At 53.4% G+C, this 18,791-nt stretch overlaps 1 protein-coding gene across 1 annotated transcript in view, besides 4 other annotated features; it reads left to right on the top strand.

Moving 5' to 3' along the window:
* The window catches only part of MN1 (MN1 proto-oncogene, transcriptional regulator), a 53,480-nt gene continuing 35,216 nt past the window's right edge, over positions 528–18,791 (top strand). Inside the window, exon 1 of the mRNA NM_002430.3 lies at positions 528–5,521. Within this exon, the coding sequence (NP_002421.3) occupies positions 1,741–5,521 (3,781 nt within the window). The 5' untranslated portion in view covers positions 528–1,740. The remainder of the gene's footprint in view (positions 5,522–18,791) is intronic.
* Positions 2,462–3,007: an enhancer, noted in NCBI's record as "H3K27ac-H3K4me1 hESC enhancer chr22:28195265-28195810 (GRCh37/hg19 assembly coordinates)". NCBI's record gives its function as "activates a minimal SCP1, AML or CMV promoter by ChIP-STARR-seq in primed H9 embryonic stem cells {active_cell/tissue: H9 hESC(primed)}" and the evidence as "EXISTENCE:reporter gene assay evidence [ECO:0000049][PMID:30033119]".
* Positions 3,008–3,554: an enhancer, noted in NCBI's record as "H3K27ac-H3K4me1 hESC enhancer chr22:28194718-28195264 (GRCh37/hg19 assembly coordinates)". NCBI's record gives its function as "activates a minimal SCP1, AML or CMV promoter by ChIP-STARR-seq in primed H9 embryonic stem cells {active_cell/tissue: H9 hESC(primed)}" and the evidence as "EXISTENCE:reporter gene assay evidence [ECO:0000049][PMID:30033119]".
* Positions 10,414–11,390: an enhancer, noted in NCBI's record as "OCT4-H3K4me1 hESC enhancer chr22:28186882-28187858 (GRCh37/hg19 assembly coordinates)". NCBI's record gives its function as "activates a minimal SCP1, AML or CMV promoter by ChIP-STARR-seq in primed H9 embryonic stem cells {active_cell/tissue: H9 hESC(primed)}" and the evidence as "EXISTENCE:reporter gene assay evidence [ECO:0000049][PMID:30033119]".
* Positions 16,360–16,887: an enhancer, noted in NCBI's record as "H3K4me1 hESC enhancer chr22:28181385-28181912 (GRCh37/hg19 assembly coordinates)". NCBI's record gives its function as "activates a minimal SCP1, AML or CMV promoter by ChIP-STARR-seq in primed H9 embryonic stem cells {active_cell/tissue: H9 hESC(primed)}" and the evidence as "EXISTENCE:reporter gene assay evidence [ECO:0000049][PMID:30033119]".

The following is an 18,791-nucleotide window of genomic DNA, read 5'->3' as shown; positions in this document are numbered from 1 at the left end:
ACCCTCCAAGAAAATCCCAGGGCCGGCTAACTTGGGCGCCGCTAGCGGAGAACGGAGTGTTCACCCCGGAGCCGAAGTGCAGTAGACACTTAGCGACTTTCCGTGGCGAGTCTAGGGTCTTTGCCTGGCGACCTCATTGTCTGAGCGCCCCGTACCGCTCACCGCCCACCTCCCCGCCCCCTGCCCACCCGGTGGGTCTCGCTCCAGTTGGGGGTGGGGAGTTGGGAACAGTGTGAATGGGAAGGGGGTGAACAAAGCCAAGCTCCCGCCATTCTCCTCCGCCTGCACCCTCTCCAGCTCGATGCGCCCGGAGGCCGGGGCGCGCCCCCAGCGCACTGACGCCGGACCCCGAGGAGAGGCGGGCGCAGGGGACCCCAGAGCTGGGGTAGTGCGGGTTCGTGGCGGGGGCTTCGGCAGCCAGGACCCCGGACCACCTTAAGAGCGAGCCCCGCCCCGAGCCCGGAACTTGGGCGGCGCTGATTGGTGCAAATGTAATGGCTGAAATTGATTGCTGAAATGCAAAACTTGTTGCTGCTTCTCCCGGCGCTGGGCGAGAGGCAGACACAGAGAGGGGAGCCGAGACCCTCGGAACGCCCCACGCAGAGCCCCCCCGCTAGTCGGGAGAGGGGTGCGCAGACCCCCCAGAGCTGCCCCCGCGCCCCCCTCCCCCCATTCCGGGCTCTGAGAGCGCAGCGGGAACGCCTTAGCCTGCTCGCCCGGCGTGGCCCCCCGACCCGCGTACGCCCCCCTCCCTCAGGTCCGAGAGGGACTCGCGAAGCACCTCAGCGCGGAGGCAGGGAACCGGAGCCTTGGAGCGACCCAACCCCTCGTCTCGCTGCCCTCCCGCGCCTGCAACGGTGCGCGGAGACTCCGGCGAACTCAGACACCCAACGGCGGAGAACAGAAGCGGCAGGCGGCGGACGTGGCCGCGAAGCTGCGCGCCGAACGCAGCGCACCCGCTGCCGAGCAGAGGAGCCGCGCCTTTCCCCGACCCTCGGCTCCAGCCCCCGGCGCCTGCCGCCTCGCAGCCCCTCTGCGTCCTCGGCTCGGGGGCCGGCACCGGCGATGCCGAGCGGAGCCTCCAGTCCTCCGACCCGCTGAAGAAGCAGCAGCCGCTCGCCCGGAGCCTACGGGGATTGTGCGAGCGGATCGTGCTCGGTGGAGGCTCGGGCTGCGGGGCGCGGGGACTCCGGGGGGCGGGGGGAGGGACCGCTCTGTCGGTGCCCGGCGCCAGCCGCGGCTTTGAAGGGTCTCCCTCCCCTGCCCTTAGCAGCTCTGCCACGGACTCCGGGAGGCTGCGGGCGGCGTCCTGAGGGCTCCCCAGCAGACCCAATCGGACTTGAGAAGGTGATCGCTCTGCTCTCCCAACCCCCTTCCCTCCCCATTCCCCCCACTTAACTTTTTGTCTCCGTTCATCCGCGGCTTCGTCCCCTCCCCGCAGACCCACCCGCGGCTGTGACAACCGCCCGGGGCATGGGCCCCCCAACACGGCTCCTAGAGGCCCCGCGGCCTCGCAAGATGTGAGAGGCCCTCCCCGGGCAGAATCGGAGCTTCAGGAGAGGAGCTAATACCCCGCCCCCCGTCCCTCACATCAGGCGGGGTGGAGGTGCGCGCTGAGCCCCCGCGGTGCTGAGCGTCCCGGAGCGCCCAATCCTGGGCTGGAACGAGTAGCTGGCCGGAGGCGCGCCGCGGAGAGCCGGCTGTCATGCCCTATTGATCCCCCTCTGCCCCCCGCCAAGTATGTTTGGGCTGGACCAATTCGAGCCCCAGGTCAACAGCAGGAACGCTGGCCAGGGCGAGAGGAACTTTAACGAGACCGGACTGAGCATGAACACCCACTTTAAGGCCCCGGCTTTCCACACTGGGGGGCCCCCTGGCCCTGTGGATCCTGCTATGAGCGCGCTGGGCGAACCCCCGATCTTGGGCATGAACATGGAGCCCTACGGCTTCCACGCGCGCGGCCACTCGGAGTTGCACGCAGGGGGGCTGCAAGCGCAGCCTGTGCACGGCTTCTTTGGCGGCCAGCAGCCTCACCACGGCCACCCGGGAAGTCATCATCCCCACCAGCATCACCCCCACTTTGGGGGCAACTTCGGTGGCCCGGACCCCGGGGCCTCGTGCCTGCACGGGGGTCGCCTGCTCGGCTACGGCGGCGCAGCCGGAGGCCTGGGCAGCCAGCCGCCCTTCGCCGAGGGCTATGAGCACATGGCGGAGAGCCAGGGGCCTGAGAGCTTCGGCCCGCAGCGACCGGGGAACCTCCCGGACTTCCACAGTTCAGGTGCCTCCAGCCACGCCGTGCCGGCCCCATGCCTGCCGCTGGACCAGAGCCCTAACCGAGCCGCCTCCTTCCACGGCCTGCCGTCCTCCAGCGGCTCCGATTCCCACAGTCTGGAGCCACGGAGGGTGACGAACCAAGGAGCCGTCGACTCGCTGGAATACAATTACCCGGGCGAGGCGCCCTCGGGACATTTTGACATGTTTTCGCCCTCTGACTCCGAAGGGCAGCTGCCTCATTATGCAGCGGGTCGCCAGGTTCCTGGGGGCGCTTTCCCGGGCGCCTCGGCCATGCCCAGAGCTGCGGGCATGGTGGGCTTGTCCAAAATGCACGCCCAGCCACCGCAGCAGCAGCCCCAGCAGCAGCAGCAGCCCCAGCAGCAGCAGCAGCAGCATGGTGTGTTCTTTGAGAGGTTCAGTGGGGCCAGAAAGATGCCTGTGGGTCTGGAGCCCTCAGTGGGCTCCAGGCACCCGTTAATGCAGCCTCCCCAGCAGGCCCCGCCACCCCCTCAGCAGCAGCCCCCGCAGCAGCCGCCACAGCAGCAGCCGCCGCCGCCACCCGGGCTTCTAGTCCGACAAAATTCGTGCCCGCCTGCGCTCCCTCGGCCCCAGCAGGGCGAGGCGGGCACGCCCAGCGGCGGCCTGCAGGACGGAGGCCCCATGCTGCCCAGCCAGCACGCGCAATTCGAGTATCCCATCCACCGGCTGGAGAACCGGAGCATGCACCCTTATTCCGAGCCTGTTTTCAGCATGCAGCATCCTCCTCCGCAGCAGGCGCCCAACCAGCGGCTGCAGCATTTCGACGCGCCCCCCTACATGAACGTGGCCAAGAGGCCGCGCTTCGACTTTCCGGGCAGCGCGGGAGTGGACCGCTGCGCTTCGTGGAACGGCAGCATGCACAACGGCGCTCTGGATAATCACCTCTCCCCTTCCGCCTACCCAGGCCTACCCGGCGAGTTCACACCGCCTGTGCCCGACAGCTTCCCTTCGGGGCCGCCCCTGCAGCATCCGGCCCCGGACCACCAGTCCCTGCAACAGCAGCAGCAGCAGCAGCAGCAGCAGCAACAGCAGCAGCAGCAGCAGCAACAGCAACAGCAACAGCAGCAGCAGCAGCAGCGCCAAAACGCGGCCCTCATGATTAAGCAGATGGCGTCGCGGAATCAGCAGCAGCGGCTGCGCCAGCCCAACCTGGCTCAGCTAGGCCACCCCGGGGACGTGGGCCAGGGCGGCCTGGTGCATGGCGGCCCGGTGGGCGGCTTGGCCCAGCCGAACTTTGAGCGCGAAGGCGGCAGCACGGGCGCCGGGCGTCTGGGCACCTTCGAGCAGCAGGCGCCGCACTTGGCGCAAGAGAGCGCGTGGTTCTCAGGTCCGCATCCGCCGCCCGGAGACCTGCTGCCCCGTAGGATGGGCGGCTCGGGTCTGCCCGCTGACTGTGGCCCGCACGACCCCAGCCTGGCGCCCCCTCCTCCGCCTGGTGGCTCGGGGGTGCTGTTCCGGGGCCCTCTGCAGGAGCCGATGAGGATGCCCGGAGAGGGCCACGTGCCCGCGCTGCCTTCACCGGGCCTGCAGTTCGGGGGCAGTCTGGGAGGCCTGGGTCAGCTGCAGTCGCCCGGGGCGGGCGTGGGGCTCCCCAGCGCTGCTTCGGAGCGCCGGCCCCCGCCGCCGGACTTTGCTACGTCTGCGCTCGGGGGCCAGCCGGGCTTTCCGTTTGGTGCAGCCGGCCGGCAGTCCACGCCGCACAGCGGTCCAGGCGTGAACTCGCCCCCCAGCGCGGGAGGGGGCGGTGGCAGCTCTGGTGGCGGCGGTGGCGGGGGTGCCTACCCGCCGCAGCCTGATTTCCAGCCCAGCCAGCGCACCTCGGCCAGTAAATTGGGCGCGCTCTCGCTGGGCTCCTTCAACAAGCCCAGCTCCAAGGACAACCTGTTCGGCCAGAGCTGCCTGGCTGCGCTCTCCACCGCTTGCCAGAACATGATCGCCAGCCTCGGGGCCCCCAACCTCAACGTGACCTTCAACAAGAAGAACCCGCCAGAGGGCAAGAGGAAACTGAGCCAGAACGAGACCGACGGCGCGGCAGTGGCCGGCAACCCGGGCTCGGATTACTTCCCAGGAGGGACTGCTCCTGGGGCCCCAGGACCCGGAGGCCCGTCCGGGACCAGTAGCAGCGGCTCCAAAGCCTCGGGGCCGCCCAACCCTCCAGCCCAGGGGGACGGCACCAGCCTCTCCCCCAACTACACCCTGGAATCCACGTCGGGGAATGACGGCAAGCCGGTCTCCGGGGGCGGCGGCCGGGGACGGGGTCGCAGAAAAAGGGACAGTGGTCACGTGAGCCCTGGCACCTTCTTTGACAAGTACTCGGCGGCTCCGGACAGCGGGGGCGCACCTGGGGTGAGCCCAGGGCAGCAGCAAGCGTCAGGCGCAGCCGTCGGGGGAAGCTCCGCAGGCGAGACGCGCGGGGCACCGACGCCCCACGAAAAGGCGCTCACGTCGCCATCCTGGGGGAAGGGGGCTGAGTTGCTCCTGGGGGATCAGCCGGACCTCATTGGGTCCCTGGACGGCGGGGCCAAGTCGGACAGTAGTTCGCCAAACGTGGGTGAGTTCGCCTCGGACGAGGTGAGCACGAGCTACGCCAATGAGGACGAGGTGTCGTCCAGCTCTGACAACCCCCAGGCACTAGTTAAAGCGAGCAGGAGTCCCCTGGTGACCGGCTCGCCCAAACTCCCTCCCCGTGGGGTAGGCGCCGGGGAACACGGACCGAAGGCGCCCCCGCCCGCCCTCGGCCTGGGCATCATGTCTAACTCTACCTCGACCCCTGACAGCTACGGCGGCGGTGGGGGCCCGGGCCATCCGGGCACTCCGGGCCTGGAGCAGGTCCGCACCCCGACGAGCAGCAGCGGCGCCCCGCCACCCGACGAGATCCACCCCCTGGAGATCCTTCAGGCGCAGATCCAGCTACAGAGGCAGCAGTTCAGCATCTCCGAGGACCAGCCTCTGGGGCTGAAGGGTGGCAAGAAGGGTGAGTGCGCCGTCGGGGCCTCAGGGGCGCAGAATGGCGACAGCGAGCTGGGCAGCTGCTGCTCCGAGGCGGTCAAGAGCGCCATGAGCACCATTGACCTGGACTCGCTGATGGCAGAGCACAGCGCTGCCTGGTACATGCCCGCTGACAAGGCCCTGGTGGACAGCGCGGACGACGACAAGACGTTGGCGCCCTGGGAGAAGGCCAAACCCCAGAACCCCAACAGCAAAGAAGGTATATGCACACTCGTTTTCCTCTCACTTCCCGGGTGACCCGCCCCATCCCCAGGGCAGGACTTAGCCTTCGCCTTTTGGGGTCCTTTGAGGTTTGGAGGGCACAAACCCTCCTAATCCCCAACTAGGAGCTGGTTATCCCACCTTTGCTTACACCAAGGGCTGTGAGGACAGACCCCCCCACACACACTGCCCCCAAGCCCCCCACATGTTACCAGGTAGATTCTAGTGCCACAGGGTGGCAAAAACTTAGATGGCAGCCCTTTGGGAATCTTGTAGAGTACCCCGCCCAGCCGCCCCCACACCCCCAGTTTTAGCTGAATTGCCCCTTCCCTTTCACACTAAGACCCCTCCCCACCCTCAACATTGAGGCTGGCTCCACTTTTTAGCAGCTGTGTGCCGCCTTCCCTGGCAGGACACCTGGGAAGTTGTGTTAACGCCTCCCACCTTTTCCTAGTTAGTCAGCCTCTAGCGCTAGTTCTTTTAGGTGCCAGCATTTTTAGGAAAAAAAAGTTACCAGCCCTGGTGTCGGCAGCATCACTCAGAGGCAACGCCTAATTTGACATTTGTTCCTAATGAATAGCTATTTTGTCTCTTCTTAACTATCAGAGTTTCATTGAAAAACGGGAGACCTGTGGGGGTTGCAGGAGGCAGGGAACCTTTTCAGGGCGCATCCCCTTGACATTTGGTGGGGTTGGGGAGGGGGAGTGCTGGGGTGGGGTCGGCTTGGACATCATTTGTGTATGGGGATATGGATATATACTCTTAAGACACAAAGGATCCGTGTTTGTCAATATCTCGCTTGGCTTTGGTGACAGATGTCCTGTCCCAGCTTTCGTTTGCATTCTAAGCACCCCCTCCCCACCAGGCCTGGAGGCCTTTAAGGTGGGAGGGGTGGGGTTAGTAAATGGGCTGCCATTCCAGTTAAAGTAATAACAGTTCTTTTTAACCTAAGGATGACTGGGTTGCCGTAGATATTTATTTTATCTGAATGGAGGTTTAAAATGTCTGTATATAAAGTGCGTGTGTGTGTGTGTGTGTATATATATAGGTGTATATATAGGTATGTGTGTCTATATATGTATCTATATATATCTAATGGCTTCTTAAAATCAGGTAACATCATTTCTTTCTTTCTATGTCTTTCTTTTAAACTATAGTTGAATTCCCTTGGTTTCCCTAGACAGACTATCACCATGGAACCAGTGGCTGGCATTTTAACCTTGTTTTTGAAAATGTGTCCCCCCCCAGTGCAATTCTTGCCCTCTTTTACAGTTCTTTCCTCCTCTGCCTTCGTTTCCCTCATCCTCCCCACATCCTGCCATGTCTTGACCCTGGATTTAAGGTGAGGGTAGGTTTTAGGAGAATGGCATGGGGGCTGGGGGAGGCAAGAGGAGAGGAAGCGAGAGTGGGCTGGGAGTTGGGTGGTTCAGAACTTGGGGCTTTCAAGGCGCGCATCCCGGGTAGCTTTCCCGCTTAGGTTTTCTAATTCATGAATGCGGCCTCTCTGCTTTTTCTCTTTGTTCCGCGGTTACTGCCCAGCCCAGGACGCCCGGGACGCACTCTCTCATTTGAAGCCGGGTGTTTAGCATGCACAGCAGACGCTGCGGCCAGCATCAGCATTCTCCAGGCTTCTCCCAGGCAAGGCCATAAATTGGTTAGTTTGGGACCCTCAGCTTCTTCTCCCTTTTTTCCCCCCCTTTTTAAAATCGAGTTGGACACAGCCTCCTGCTTGCTCCCCCCACCCCTTTATTTTCTTGTACACGACATCTCGATCTGGCCCGATCGATAGCTGGTTAGCACAAATCTCAGCCCCTGTCACTTCTACCTGGCCTGGCCTGGCCTAGCCGCCCCTCCCCCTTCCCCTTCTCATCCTCCCCTCCCACTCCTAGTAATTAAGAACATATTGGCCAAAATGAGGTGAGAAAAGTTAAAAAAAAAAAAAACAACAACCCTGATTTAAAGAATCCATTTAAGAAAAACAGTAGCACTTCATCTTCAAGTCTTTTAAAGGGCCTTCATAGACTAGGTGGACAGGTATAGGGTCATTTTAATGAGATTTTTAGAAGTTGTCTCTCCCCATCCCCTTTCCAGTCCTTCCTTTAGAGATGAAGATGCAGGCTGTGAATGAAGAAATGTCACCAAAGAAATGTTTTGTTTGTGTCATCATCACAGTCAGATGAATGAAAATATTTTTTAGAAACAGATGCTAGTCACTTTAGGGTTGATTTCTCCTGTAAGCTAAAGGAAGCCCTCCCCTGCATGCGGGGCGACAGGGACTTCCATCAGGGACCAGCAGGGCTGGCTGTCTTATAAGCACCAGCAGGGACACCCACTTGACCTCCTTTGTTTTCTACTCTGTGGTGTGGGAAGGACAGTTTCCTCGATAAAGCAGCGAATTGAGGTCACTCGAAGCTTCTGTAGCCTTGGGGTTGCTAGTTAAGGCTTTATAAGGTATCTGCATCTGAATCCTGCTCCCTTACTGGTAGTAAATAAGGATGATTAAACTTTTCATTATGATAACACCCTGTAGTTCCATCTGCACACGTTGTATAAATAGGTACACAGAGCTTTCTACAGGCCCCTGAGTCCCCTCACTGAAAATCAGAGTGAAGTGTGCCACTTCGAAATAGAGACAGAAAAAAAAATCATAGCAAAATGTTCTGCTTTTCCTTTAAAAACATGCTCATGGTCCCATTAGCCTTGAGCAGTGGTGTCCAATGGCTTTGAATGGACCTTCTCTAGGTACCAGCCCCAGCATTTTTTTTTCTACTCCCCTTGCAGGCAAAGCCCATTTTTGTAATGATATTTTATTTTGTCACGCCGTAAAACATGCCAGTACTAATGTGATTAAATATTAACACCGTTTCTGAAATTCTTCGCTCCAATGACAAAATACTAGTCGGTATTTAACAAAATGATCCGTGCTCGGATTGGAGGGAACGAATAAGTCTTCAGAACTGTACAAGGCGTGCAGCCACTGGGACGTGCCCAGATTGTCTTATGGGCTTGAGATGTCCTTTGGAGGGGAGGGAACTTGACTGGCAAGTTGTCGTTCTCGCAAAGTCTAGGCCAACATCACATGGGATGATGATTTTTTTAAACCAGGAAATCTAGCTAGTCTCTCCAAATCATGCTTCTCTTGACTTCTTAATCAACCCACCCAACAACTTTTATATAATGCAACTTTACCTCTGAGCATGAGGCTCTATTTGTACAAAGTTGTGGTGGGGGAAGGGTGAGATTGTGGAAAGGAAAAAAACAAAAAACAAAAAACAAAACCCAGCCTGAGTTTGGGCCTATTCAAACATCAATTAAATTGGTGAGAATTATATGGATTTAAAAAGAGTTTGCAAAATCATCCGCCTATCTTTGTAACACACTATAGAAATGATCCCTGAAAGTATAGTCTTCATCCACCTATCTTTGTAATAGGTGTGTGGCTACGGAAGAATTTCAACACAGAGAGGAGAGATAATGATAGATTATAGATAATGCATATTAAGTTGGAAAAAGTACGTTTTCTCCCCTCCTGCCCCTTACAATTTTCAAAAGTTGAATTAACCGTATTCTGTAATACGTTTATCTTTGCCAAACCTCCTTTCCCCTGGTAGCTCTATCTTGAAACCCAGGGCAGTCTTGAAGTACTCTTTCACATACATTGAAATGGGAGCAGTCTCGGTACACACTCTGCAAGCAATCCTGCCCTTTTTGGAAGTATGATATTTTTACAGTGATGCCAGAGAAATTTTTGGAATTTCATGCTTCTCTCAGTGTTGCAGTCAGAACACAGTAACAGCACTGAGCAATCCTAGGCAGGCAAGATTTGAACATGGAATTTCTTTAGACATAGGGCAGACTTGGGGCGGGGGGGCAGGTAGGTCCTAGCCTCAGAGCAAAGCACTGTTTTCCTGAGAGAATTTTTAAGGCTCATTTGAACTTGTTTGGGGGAAGGCAAAGAGCTTTGCAATCCTGTTTCCCTGTGAAATTACCCAGCACGAGTTGTATGCCTTCATGTGACTTTTGCGCCTCCGGAAGATGTAACCCAAAACTTCGCAGGTGTTAATAAGGGATAATGTAAACAGATAGGGCCCCCTTTGTGCAGCTGACGTTTGGGCCTCCCTGCTCCCTGGATATCCCAGGACATCAAACTACTGTTCTTTGGTGCTTGTTTAATATTTCATGGCTGTAATAAACCTGTCTACTTTGCCCGCCTCCTGACATAAAACCCCAACCTAACACACATCTGCAATCATACATTTCTACTAAATATTAATAAAGGACAAGGATGTTTTAAGGGGCTGAAAGCTGGCAGTGTTGAACTTGTCATGGTTTTCTACCACTGGGTTTTCTGGCTGTTTTGATTTTAAATAGCCATTGCTTTCTAATATGCAAAATATATTTATATATTCATATATATATATATATATATATATATATATATATGCAATTTTTATAGATTGAAGGGCTTTCCTCAAGTATAGCTTTCTTTAATATAAATTCATTTAGATTTCTTGTGAGGCCCCTTCAGACCGGAAATAAGGAACTATTGAAATGTACTTCTAGTTTATTGAGGTTTCTAGGAAAGGAGTGAGAGTTAGTTAATCTAATTTCTCTTTCTAGCAAGGAAATTCTATGATTCCTGATATGATTTTGTTTGCCTGACAGAGGTATTTAAATTTCCACAAAGAATCTTAATAGGTTTTGAAAATGCGGCTACTCTTGCCAAGAAGTTACTTGATACCCTGTGCTGATATAAAATATACATTTTTAATAAATAGTCCGGCAGGACCAGGTGAAATTAGAGGAGGAAAATTCTTCCCACTGTGGAAGGGCCAACTTGAGTGGGTCACTGGGATTTCACAGGATCTCCTAAACTCACTTTATGCTGGAAAATGTAGCAGAATCACTTGTGACCCGTTTCTCTCCACCTGAATGACAATGACGTCGGATTGTGTTCTTTGCCCAGGGAGTGATCAGCTTTGCCGAAAGCATTTAGGAGAGATAAACACTCTTGGTAAGGAATACTGTATTTACCTCTGTTTGGTTATTTTTAGAGATTAAAAGGCTGTAGCTTTATATAATAGGATCAAATGTCTGGGGAGTGTGTGGGAGCAAGCAGGCCTCCCAAGCACACCGCAACATAAAAACACCAAATCCTCTCATGCCAGAGCGGTCCTCTGTTTGTCGGAGGGGGTGGGGGGCTGCAACCAGTGGTTTCACCTTCTGTCCTTTTCTCACTACCCGCTGCTTGTTCCACCCAGTTCTCTGGTCTGGAGGGGCCAGGATCGCCCAACCTCATCATTTTGACTCAAGTCAGGATTTTGACTTGCCGACGATGTGTTTGTTTTAGGATGGTGTCTATATTTAGGCGCGTCTTGGGTGGACAGATTTGAGTGTGGGATTTGATCGCTCTTGGTGGAGATGTTGATGTATACATGAGTGCGTGATTGAGAAGAGGGACATTTGGAGGAAATTTTTCAAGCCTCCTCGCCTTCTCACACACACTGGAGCCAAATGAAGTGGTCTGGGGGCCAGCTCGAAAGAGCACAGCTGAGGTGGGTGGAAGCTCTGGGTCTGTATCTCAGGGGAGCAAAGCAGGGCCCCATGCAGTTCAGTGTGTGAAGAAGCCCCCCTCTCTCCCCCTCGCCCCATCCCAGCATCCGCATATATACATATGCATGGCCGAGTGTATTTCCATCCAATCTGGAGTCACTCCTCCAGTTTACCCTTAATCTGCTTTCTGAAGGCGAGCGGGGAAAGGAGCTCACCCTTCAGTCTCAATGGCCTTAGCTGACAGGTTCTGATTCTGTAAAGGACTGAATGAGCGTGAGTCCTAAAAATAGAGGGAGGATTTTGAAGATCCTAATTACGAAATCTCAGCCTCCCGGGCCTCCTGGGCTGTGGGTGACTTTGATCTGGAGTATTTCAGTAGCAGACGCACGTCGCCCCTCGCTGGGTTTTGTGCGTGAGCGTACGTGGAGGTGTCTCTCTGGCTGAGTTCAGCTAACACCAGTTTCCTGCCAGGAGAGGAATCTTTGAATCAGTGCCCCCTCCCCTTCTTTACTCCCCCCCCACCTACCCCCACCAGTTGTGGGAAGCGGACGCTGCTTCTCATTTATGGAAATTCCTAGCCTTTATTGTAATCTTTTTGTACCAACGACGTGGCGGAGACGACACTGGGCTTTCAAATTAGTCATGGTCCTGCCTGCAGGGACCCTCTGTGTCCTGATGCAGAACAGCTCAGCCACAGTCCCCAGCTCAGAGCCACCCAGGGCCCCGAGAAACTGTGAACAGGCCTCAAAAGGAGAGATGGTTCTGGGATCCTGGCACATTGTGCCCGATGGGTCACCCCGCACGAAGGTGGCCCTGGTCATTTCCTGCCATCTTCCGATGACAGGACAGCATGCAGCCTCACCTGGGTGATCAGCCGCTTTGCAGAGCGTGGGTGAGATGATACCCTGCCAAGTGTGCGCTTCAGGGGGCAAAACCTCCAAACTTATTTTGTGACCAGGATTGAGAAGCAGAGTTAAGTTTCATTTACTTGTGTGGGGAGGGACTTTTGAAAGGCATCATGTTCTCGGGATGTAATTATTATAGGATGCTGAGACCCGCTTTGTGTGCCGGCCTTCATTTTAATCAGCAGCCTCCGAGGTTTGAGCAGCCAGTGAAGTATCTGCTCCCAACCCGGTGTTTGCCCAAAAGGGCACAGAGGGGAGAAATGGCCACGGGTTTCTCCCAGTCTTGAAATCCAAGGGGTTGAAACTGGGTTCCCGATAGCTTCCAGTTTGGGCCTGACAAGACCATATTGGACTGGCACCCTAGGTACCTCCTGAGTCAGGACTTGTCCTAGCCACAGCATCCCAAATTGTCATTCTCTCTAGGCTGAGAAAGCTGGTGGGATTTCATAATCACCACTTCCTTGAGAAGCCGGAGCAGAGAGAACTTTATAGTGATTGCATGCGTATCTTTTCACGATTTACGCATCATCGTAGGGACCCAAATGCCCTTTAAACATAAGGCAACTGAATCTAGCAGTTTGGAGGTCTTAGAGCATTTGTAATAACATGCTGGCTCTCTGTGAATGTCCCAGAAGGAACATCTTCCATGGAATGGACTTGTCCAAAAAGGGAGAAAAAATTCCCCAATAAACATCCCCATATAAACTCACATTGTTGAGGGAAATCACGTTTTCGTGTTCTCATCTTGAAAGCTCTGAGTCCAGCGAACTCACCTTGCCCTACTTCCCCTGGAGTTTATAGGATCAACTATGTGCCCAGAAGCTTCCATCTTATTCCCATCTTTGATCTCTCTGTGGAAAATCTTGGACTCCCCCAAAATGTTTGCTCCTAGGATTTTGCTCCTTCTGTCTATCTCGGTTTCTTGGGCTACAGTTTGACTTACCTATGCTGGTATTTGGTTTGGGAGATGCAAGGTGTGTTGGGAAATAGTTTAGGGAAACAGGGAGACCCCTTGGCGGAGGCGTATTTGGGACCCATTGCTATAGAAGATCTTTGGAAAGTTGGGGACTTCAAAGATACCCACAAGAGAACCAGGTCTTGTTTTTATCCTGCATGTCTCAAAAACAATCTGCATAGTTACTCAGAAGTATATGGCCATGGTCATGTCTTTGGAGGAAACGTGGACTAACTTTGGTGCTGAGGCACCCTTGCAGCTTTGTTTTTCCTGCTCGCTCTTCGAGCAGCCTGACTCATGAGAACTAAGTGGCCCGTTGATGCATTCAATTGTGAGGATTTAAAAGTAGTTTTTTTCTTCTCAGTGCTGAGAAGAATTTAAAGAGTTTTGGGCATGATGGTTTTGTTTGATCTCAACACTTGGGACAAAAATTTCCCTGGAGTGACACCGTCTGGGGGGGTCTTTCTGATGCCACTCGTTTTGCGTGGTATGACTAGGAGAAATCTCTCTGCGTCAAAGTTGAGGGCCCCAGTGTGCCTGGTCTGGTTTTCTTGGTCCTATTTGGGAACTCCTGGAACGTGAGATGACAGTTAATAAGTGAACCCCTCCACGCATGCGCACATGCGTACACACGTGCGTGCACACACACACGCGTGCACACACACACACATAACTTCTTGCTCATCCAGTCATTCAGGGAAGGATGAGATGTCAAAAAAAAAAAAAAAGATATGACCCTTTTCAGTTACTGTGAAGCAGTGTTTTCAGACGCCCTTGGATCTTGGAACACAAGCATTGTTGAGTGATTGGCAGCGACCACCAGGAGTAAAATACTTCTGAGGGACCATCTTATGATCAGAGAAGGGGTGGGGAAGTCGGCAGAAAACCTAGCCTGCTTTGAAATCCCCAAAGCTCAGTCTTCCAGAGAAAGCAGGGGTTGGTTGAGAATTTGCTGAGAAGTTAGTGGGTTCTTCCTGGTCCCTGTGTGCTGTTTGAAAGCGTCCTTGCAAGTTTTAGGGCCCCGATCCTGATGTGGACACTGTAGGTCCTCATTTCCAAATAAATCAGAAGGCAGAGAGAGAAGCACCTCCAGTGAGGAAGACTAGATGGAAATTGGGGTGCGGCGTATTTTCTCAGGATAGGGGCATGGCAGAGGGACGGATGGGGCAGGGAGAAATGCGTCAACATGAGTTGAAGTGTCGTTTACTGACTCTTGGGGTTCGCGAGTGGAAAATAATTTATAAATGTGGAATTCATTTATAACAACATCACCTGGGCTAGGCTGAGGGTGTATGAATTACTTGGCGGCTGGTGTCGGCCGTCACAAAGGACAGAAGGTTCTTGCCCAAGCTTTCCCTGTGGGGCTCGGGGCTCCCACATCGCTGCACATGCATGGGGGAGGTAGATCCGGAGGACCCAGCCTGAGACTGGATGACCGCATTGTGGGTCTGTTAGCAGTCAGGACCCGTTTCTGTTGAGTTAGTGGCCGAGGCAGGCTCAAGGGGATGAAGACCCAGATGGGCCCTGGGTAGGTCAGGACCCAGACGTGCCTGTGGCCAATTCCTGCAGAGGAGCTGGTCCCTTGAGGCCCAGATCCTTCCATAAAAGAGGGATGATGGGGGTGGGAAAAGGGAGTGACCTTTCCCCTGGTGATCCTGTAAGGTGGCCACTAAGGCTTCCCTCCTAGCAAGACCCTCAGGGATGATCTTGGCTTTCACAGACCTTGTAGGCAGGTCCCAATGCCTTGAAATGCAAGTGTGCCCCATGATGCCCTCCCACACAATATATATATTTTTCCTTTCTCTGAATGGTAGGCAAAAAGGGGACCAAAGTAAGTGACAAATCCAGCAAGAGGAAGATTTCCCTGACTTGAGATAAGCCAAGTGTGGAAAGGAGCTGGAGAAATTAAGAGTCTCTTCTTTCCTCCCTTCCAGGAGACCCCAGGTCCAGCCTTCAGAAGCCCTTAATGCTTTTGCAGTGAGACCTAATTGACTAAAAACAAATTGGCCATTTTCATCCCCTGCAATGTAACTTTTGGCGATTGTTTAGTATTTGAAGGAAGGGAGGCTGCAGATCAAAATTTGGCTTTTTAGAACAGGAGCAATTTCACGATCCTTATGCCATGACTATTTCTAAATTGTCTGGGCAGAAAGCTTTGAATGCCTTTTGCCGGGCTTTGCTTGCGTGCACACACGCACGTGCACGTGCACACATACCACACAGGCCTGAGAAGTCTTAATAAGAAATGAATAAATAATTTTCTCCCCCAAGAAGAAGCTCATGCAAAGTTTTGGCCTCGTTCAGTTTGAAGTAGACGCGTATTGATCTCCATGCGGTCAATTTTTGCCGAATTTGTAATCCTGTTAGGCCTCCGGGAAAGGCATGATTAATTTACTTGTACATTTCACTATTTTGGGTCAGTTTAGTTAATAAGCATTTATTTTGTGCTCAGCGCCTGTGAAGCATTTTGCTGGGATTAGAAGTGTGTGTGTGTGTGTGTGTGTGCGCACGGGCATTAATGGGCCCGGATTGCCTGGCATAGAATAATGGCCACCAGTAGTCTAGGTTCCCACCACCTCCTCAGGACAGGAAGAGGAGGCGAGTGGCGCCTTTCACCATCACTCGTCCAGGAGGAGGGAGAAAAAGCCCAGTCGTTGAGCAAACCCAGCCTCCCAGAACCTTGGAGACGGCCAAAGAACACGGGCTTCCTTCTGGTGCCTTGGTTCTCCGACCCTGAGAGTTTCCCAGCATTAATTCTTAATTGACTGGGAGTTGAGCACTCGTGTGGGCCAGAGGTCTCTGCACATGGGTGGACAGTTGGGAATCTTCAACCTCTTTGCAGTACCTTTTATGCTGCTTCCTTGACACATGGTGGTGGTGGTGGTAGGAGGATGTGTGTGTGTGTGTGTGTGTGTGTTTAACTTTTAAGAAATGCATCGTTTGACTTCCAAAGAAGGAAGAAAAAGTATGCATAAGTCTCGGAAGCTGAGAAAAGGAATAACAAAGCAAAACAGCCCTCAGCTTTGGCCTTTCCTAACACTGAGTCTGTAAAGGGGAGCATGTGTCATTTTGATGGTGCGAGCACTTCAGCCTGGCTTCTTTGGGGGGCCCCCCTCTTCCTCTCTGGGCTCCCCACAGCCTTCCTGTCTCTCTGCCTTCAGAAGATGGGCTAAAATTCCACTCAAAAAACAACCATCAAAATGCCAGGGTTCGGCCATAACAGTTTTTGAGAAATGGTGTTTTCGGCACCCCCCACCATTTGCTTAATTCCTCGCTCATCTCGTCGGTTCCCACCAAGGCCTTGCCTTTGCAGAGTGAGGGCCAGACGGAGTCTTTGCGGCGCTGAGCCAGCCTGAAATGAACTGAAGGCGCTGAGGAAACAGGCATTTGGAGAGATGAGGATACAATTTCTTTTTTTATGTGGGCCCGTTAAAGTCTAATGGACATTGGTGTCTGGCCTTAAATTTGGAGAGGGTCTTTATCTAACCCTTAAAACTGGAGTCGTTTCCGGTAATTACGACACCCCAGGCAAGACCACTAAATCTTCCAGAGGCTTGTCTGGATGGCCGTGGTGGGGCTGGGAGGGGCCATGGGGGGGGGGCACACCTGTTACCTGTATCAGCTATAATTATGACATTTCTAGACTCCTGGTTTTAAAGGAAGAATTTATGGGCTAGGTAAAGCCGGAAGAGAGCAGCCAGAGGCGTTCTGGCTTATGGCAGCGAAGTTGCAAGAGCCCCCACGCTCGGTGCCCATCACGGCCCCTGCATTTCCTTAATGAACTAATTTAGTTCCCCAACATTTGGTATTAAGTAAGTAGTTATTTTGGGAATCGAAGAGAGAAAGAGCTGGAAGACTTTAAAAAAACTTTTTGGAAAAAAGAAAAAGTATTGCATTTTTAAGTTTGAGACGTCTTGGCGTCCAGGCGTAAGATGTGGGGGAGGACTCCTTTGGTGCGACGTGGCCGGACGTGGAGAAGCGGCCGGCCCCATCCCTGCCTGTGTTTTTGCTTCTCGACAGAGGGGGTTTTTCCGTTGTTAGGAACGGCGGAGGCCACAACACCCAGACTCCGAGCAGTTTGTTTGGAAGTATTGTTTAGATTATTCTCGCTTTTCAAATTGAGACAAACTTGGTTTAATGGGAAAATAGCAGTATTACTATCTTGGTGTGTTTGCTTTAGCGTTTAAAAATAGTTTGTTTTCATATCCCAAATTTCATCCTTTCCTTGTTTGCTTGTTTGATGGAAACCCGTGTGTGTGTGTGTGTGTGTGTGTGTGTGTGTGTGTGTGTGGCGGATGCCAGCACGCACATCTATATAGATGCCGGCGATCAAATAGTTGCAATCGTCCAACCAAAAAACGATTGCAATTTTACATCTGGCTAAAGGGACTCATACCATTTGTTTTTAACTTAAACCATCTTGTCCCTTCCTTCGGCATCAGCACACCACTCCCCAACTCCCCCCGACCCACAACCCAGCAGTATTTATTTCTTCCTTAAAAAAAGGAATGCCGGCCTGTTCGCTAAGGTCCCTGTTGGAATAGATTTTCAGAGGTTATGTATTAAATGTGTTTGAGGGCGATTTCAGCCCTCAGCCTGGTTGTCCCAGTACTAATGGTAGCAGGGCCTATTACAGACAGGCAAAGAATATTGTAAATGGCTTATGCAGAAAAACCATTTAGATAAAAATGCAATTTTCCCCTCTGCATAGAGTGCTAAGAATTAATAGCACATTCTTTCTAAATGGGTATTTTTATATTATATTTTCCCCCTAATGAAATTCTTTCCCCAAACAAGAGCATGTTTCATTTTAAACTTTAGAGTAAAATTGATCTGTTTTTAAGCCTGCAAAAACTGGTGTCCTAGTTCTCAGCAGGCCCCTACCTTCCCTCCTCTGCGTCTGAGATTTTTGACATTAGATTGTGTAGCGGATGGTAATGGCGGTTGTGTTTTTTGACAGTCCATCCACATTGAGGCTGAAATAGAGAGAAAGGCTGGGTTTGCCCACATTTTGGGTGGATATGGGGGTGTTTGGCGGTTTCAACAAACAGAGAAACTGGTCCTGAAATCTGAGCCGTGTGCACTCAGGCCTGGCCTGGCCTGGGAGGAGGCTCAGTTCCCTGCTCCCTGGGAGTGCCTGTGATCCCCTAGGTGCATCCCCTGCTCCTGGCTTCTGTATGACTGCAGGGGAGATCCAGGGTCCCCAGTCCTGCTCCCCTTTATACGACTTCTGGGAAAGGGGCTGCTTCCAGCTCCCGAGTACCCTCTGAGGGGCAGTTCTCAGGGGCCGGCTCTCTGCCAAGGCCTCTGTGGCCATTTTGGGAGGAATGGAAATTCAGAACTTCTTAGAAGGCTGACTTCAGGCAGACCAGCAGGAGCCTGCGGCGGCATCATCGTGGAAAGTCTTTGAGAGCTTGTTGCACTGGCCGCCATGGGCCAGTGTCTGCTGACCCAGTTTTCCCTGCCTGGGTGTGTGTACGTGGAGATATTCGGACTCGCCTTGGCAGCTTAGACGTCCAGACTTGACAGTGATAGACCCTGTGACATTGTAGTAGGTGAACATCTAAAACACAAGCTTGTGGTTTTTCACTATCAATATGGCACTGATGTGAAAGTTTAGGTAGAATTCTAGAATGGGAAAGACCTTCTCCTGTTTTTTGTGCCCCTCCCCTACAACATTTTCCAGTTGAGATAACGAAAGCCCAGAGAGGGCAGGCAACTTGGCCAAGGTCACACAGCACAGGCGCAGAGCCAGGACAGGACTATAGTTGACCTTTGGCCTTGGGCTTCCCTTCCTGCCCCTTAATGCCCTCACCTGAGAGCTAGGATTTGATTTTATCTGGCTAAGCCTCGTG

This window comes from Homo sapiens, chromosome 22, assembly GCF_000001405.40.
Source record: "Homo sapiens chromosome 22, GRCh38.p14 Primary Assembly".
NCBI lineage: Eukaryota > Metazoa > Chordata > Mammalia > Primates > Hominidae > Homo > Homo sapiens.
Note: the sequence above shows the minus strand (reverse complement) of the source record. Positions and strands in the feature narration are given on the sequence as shown.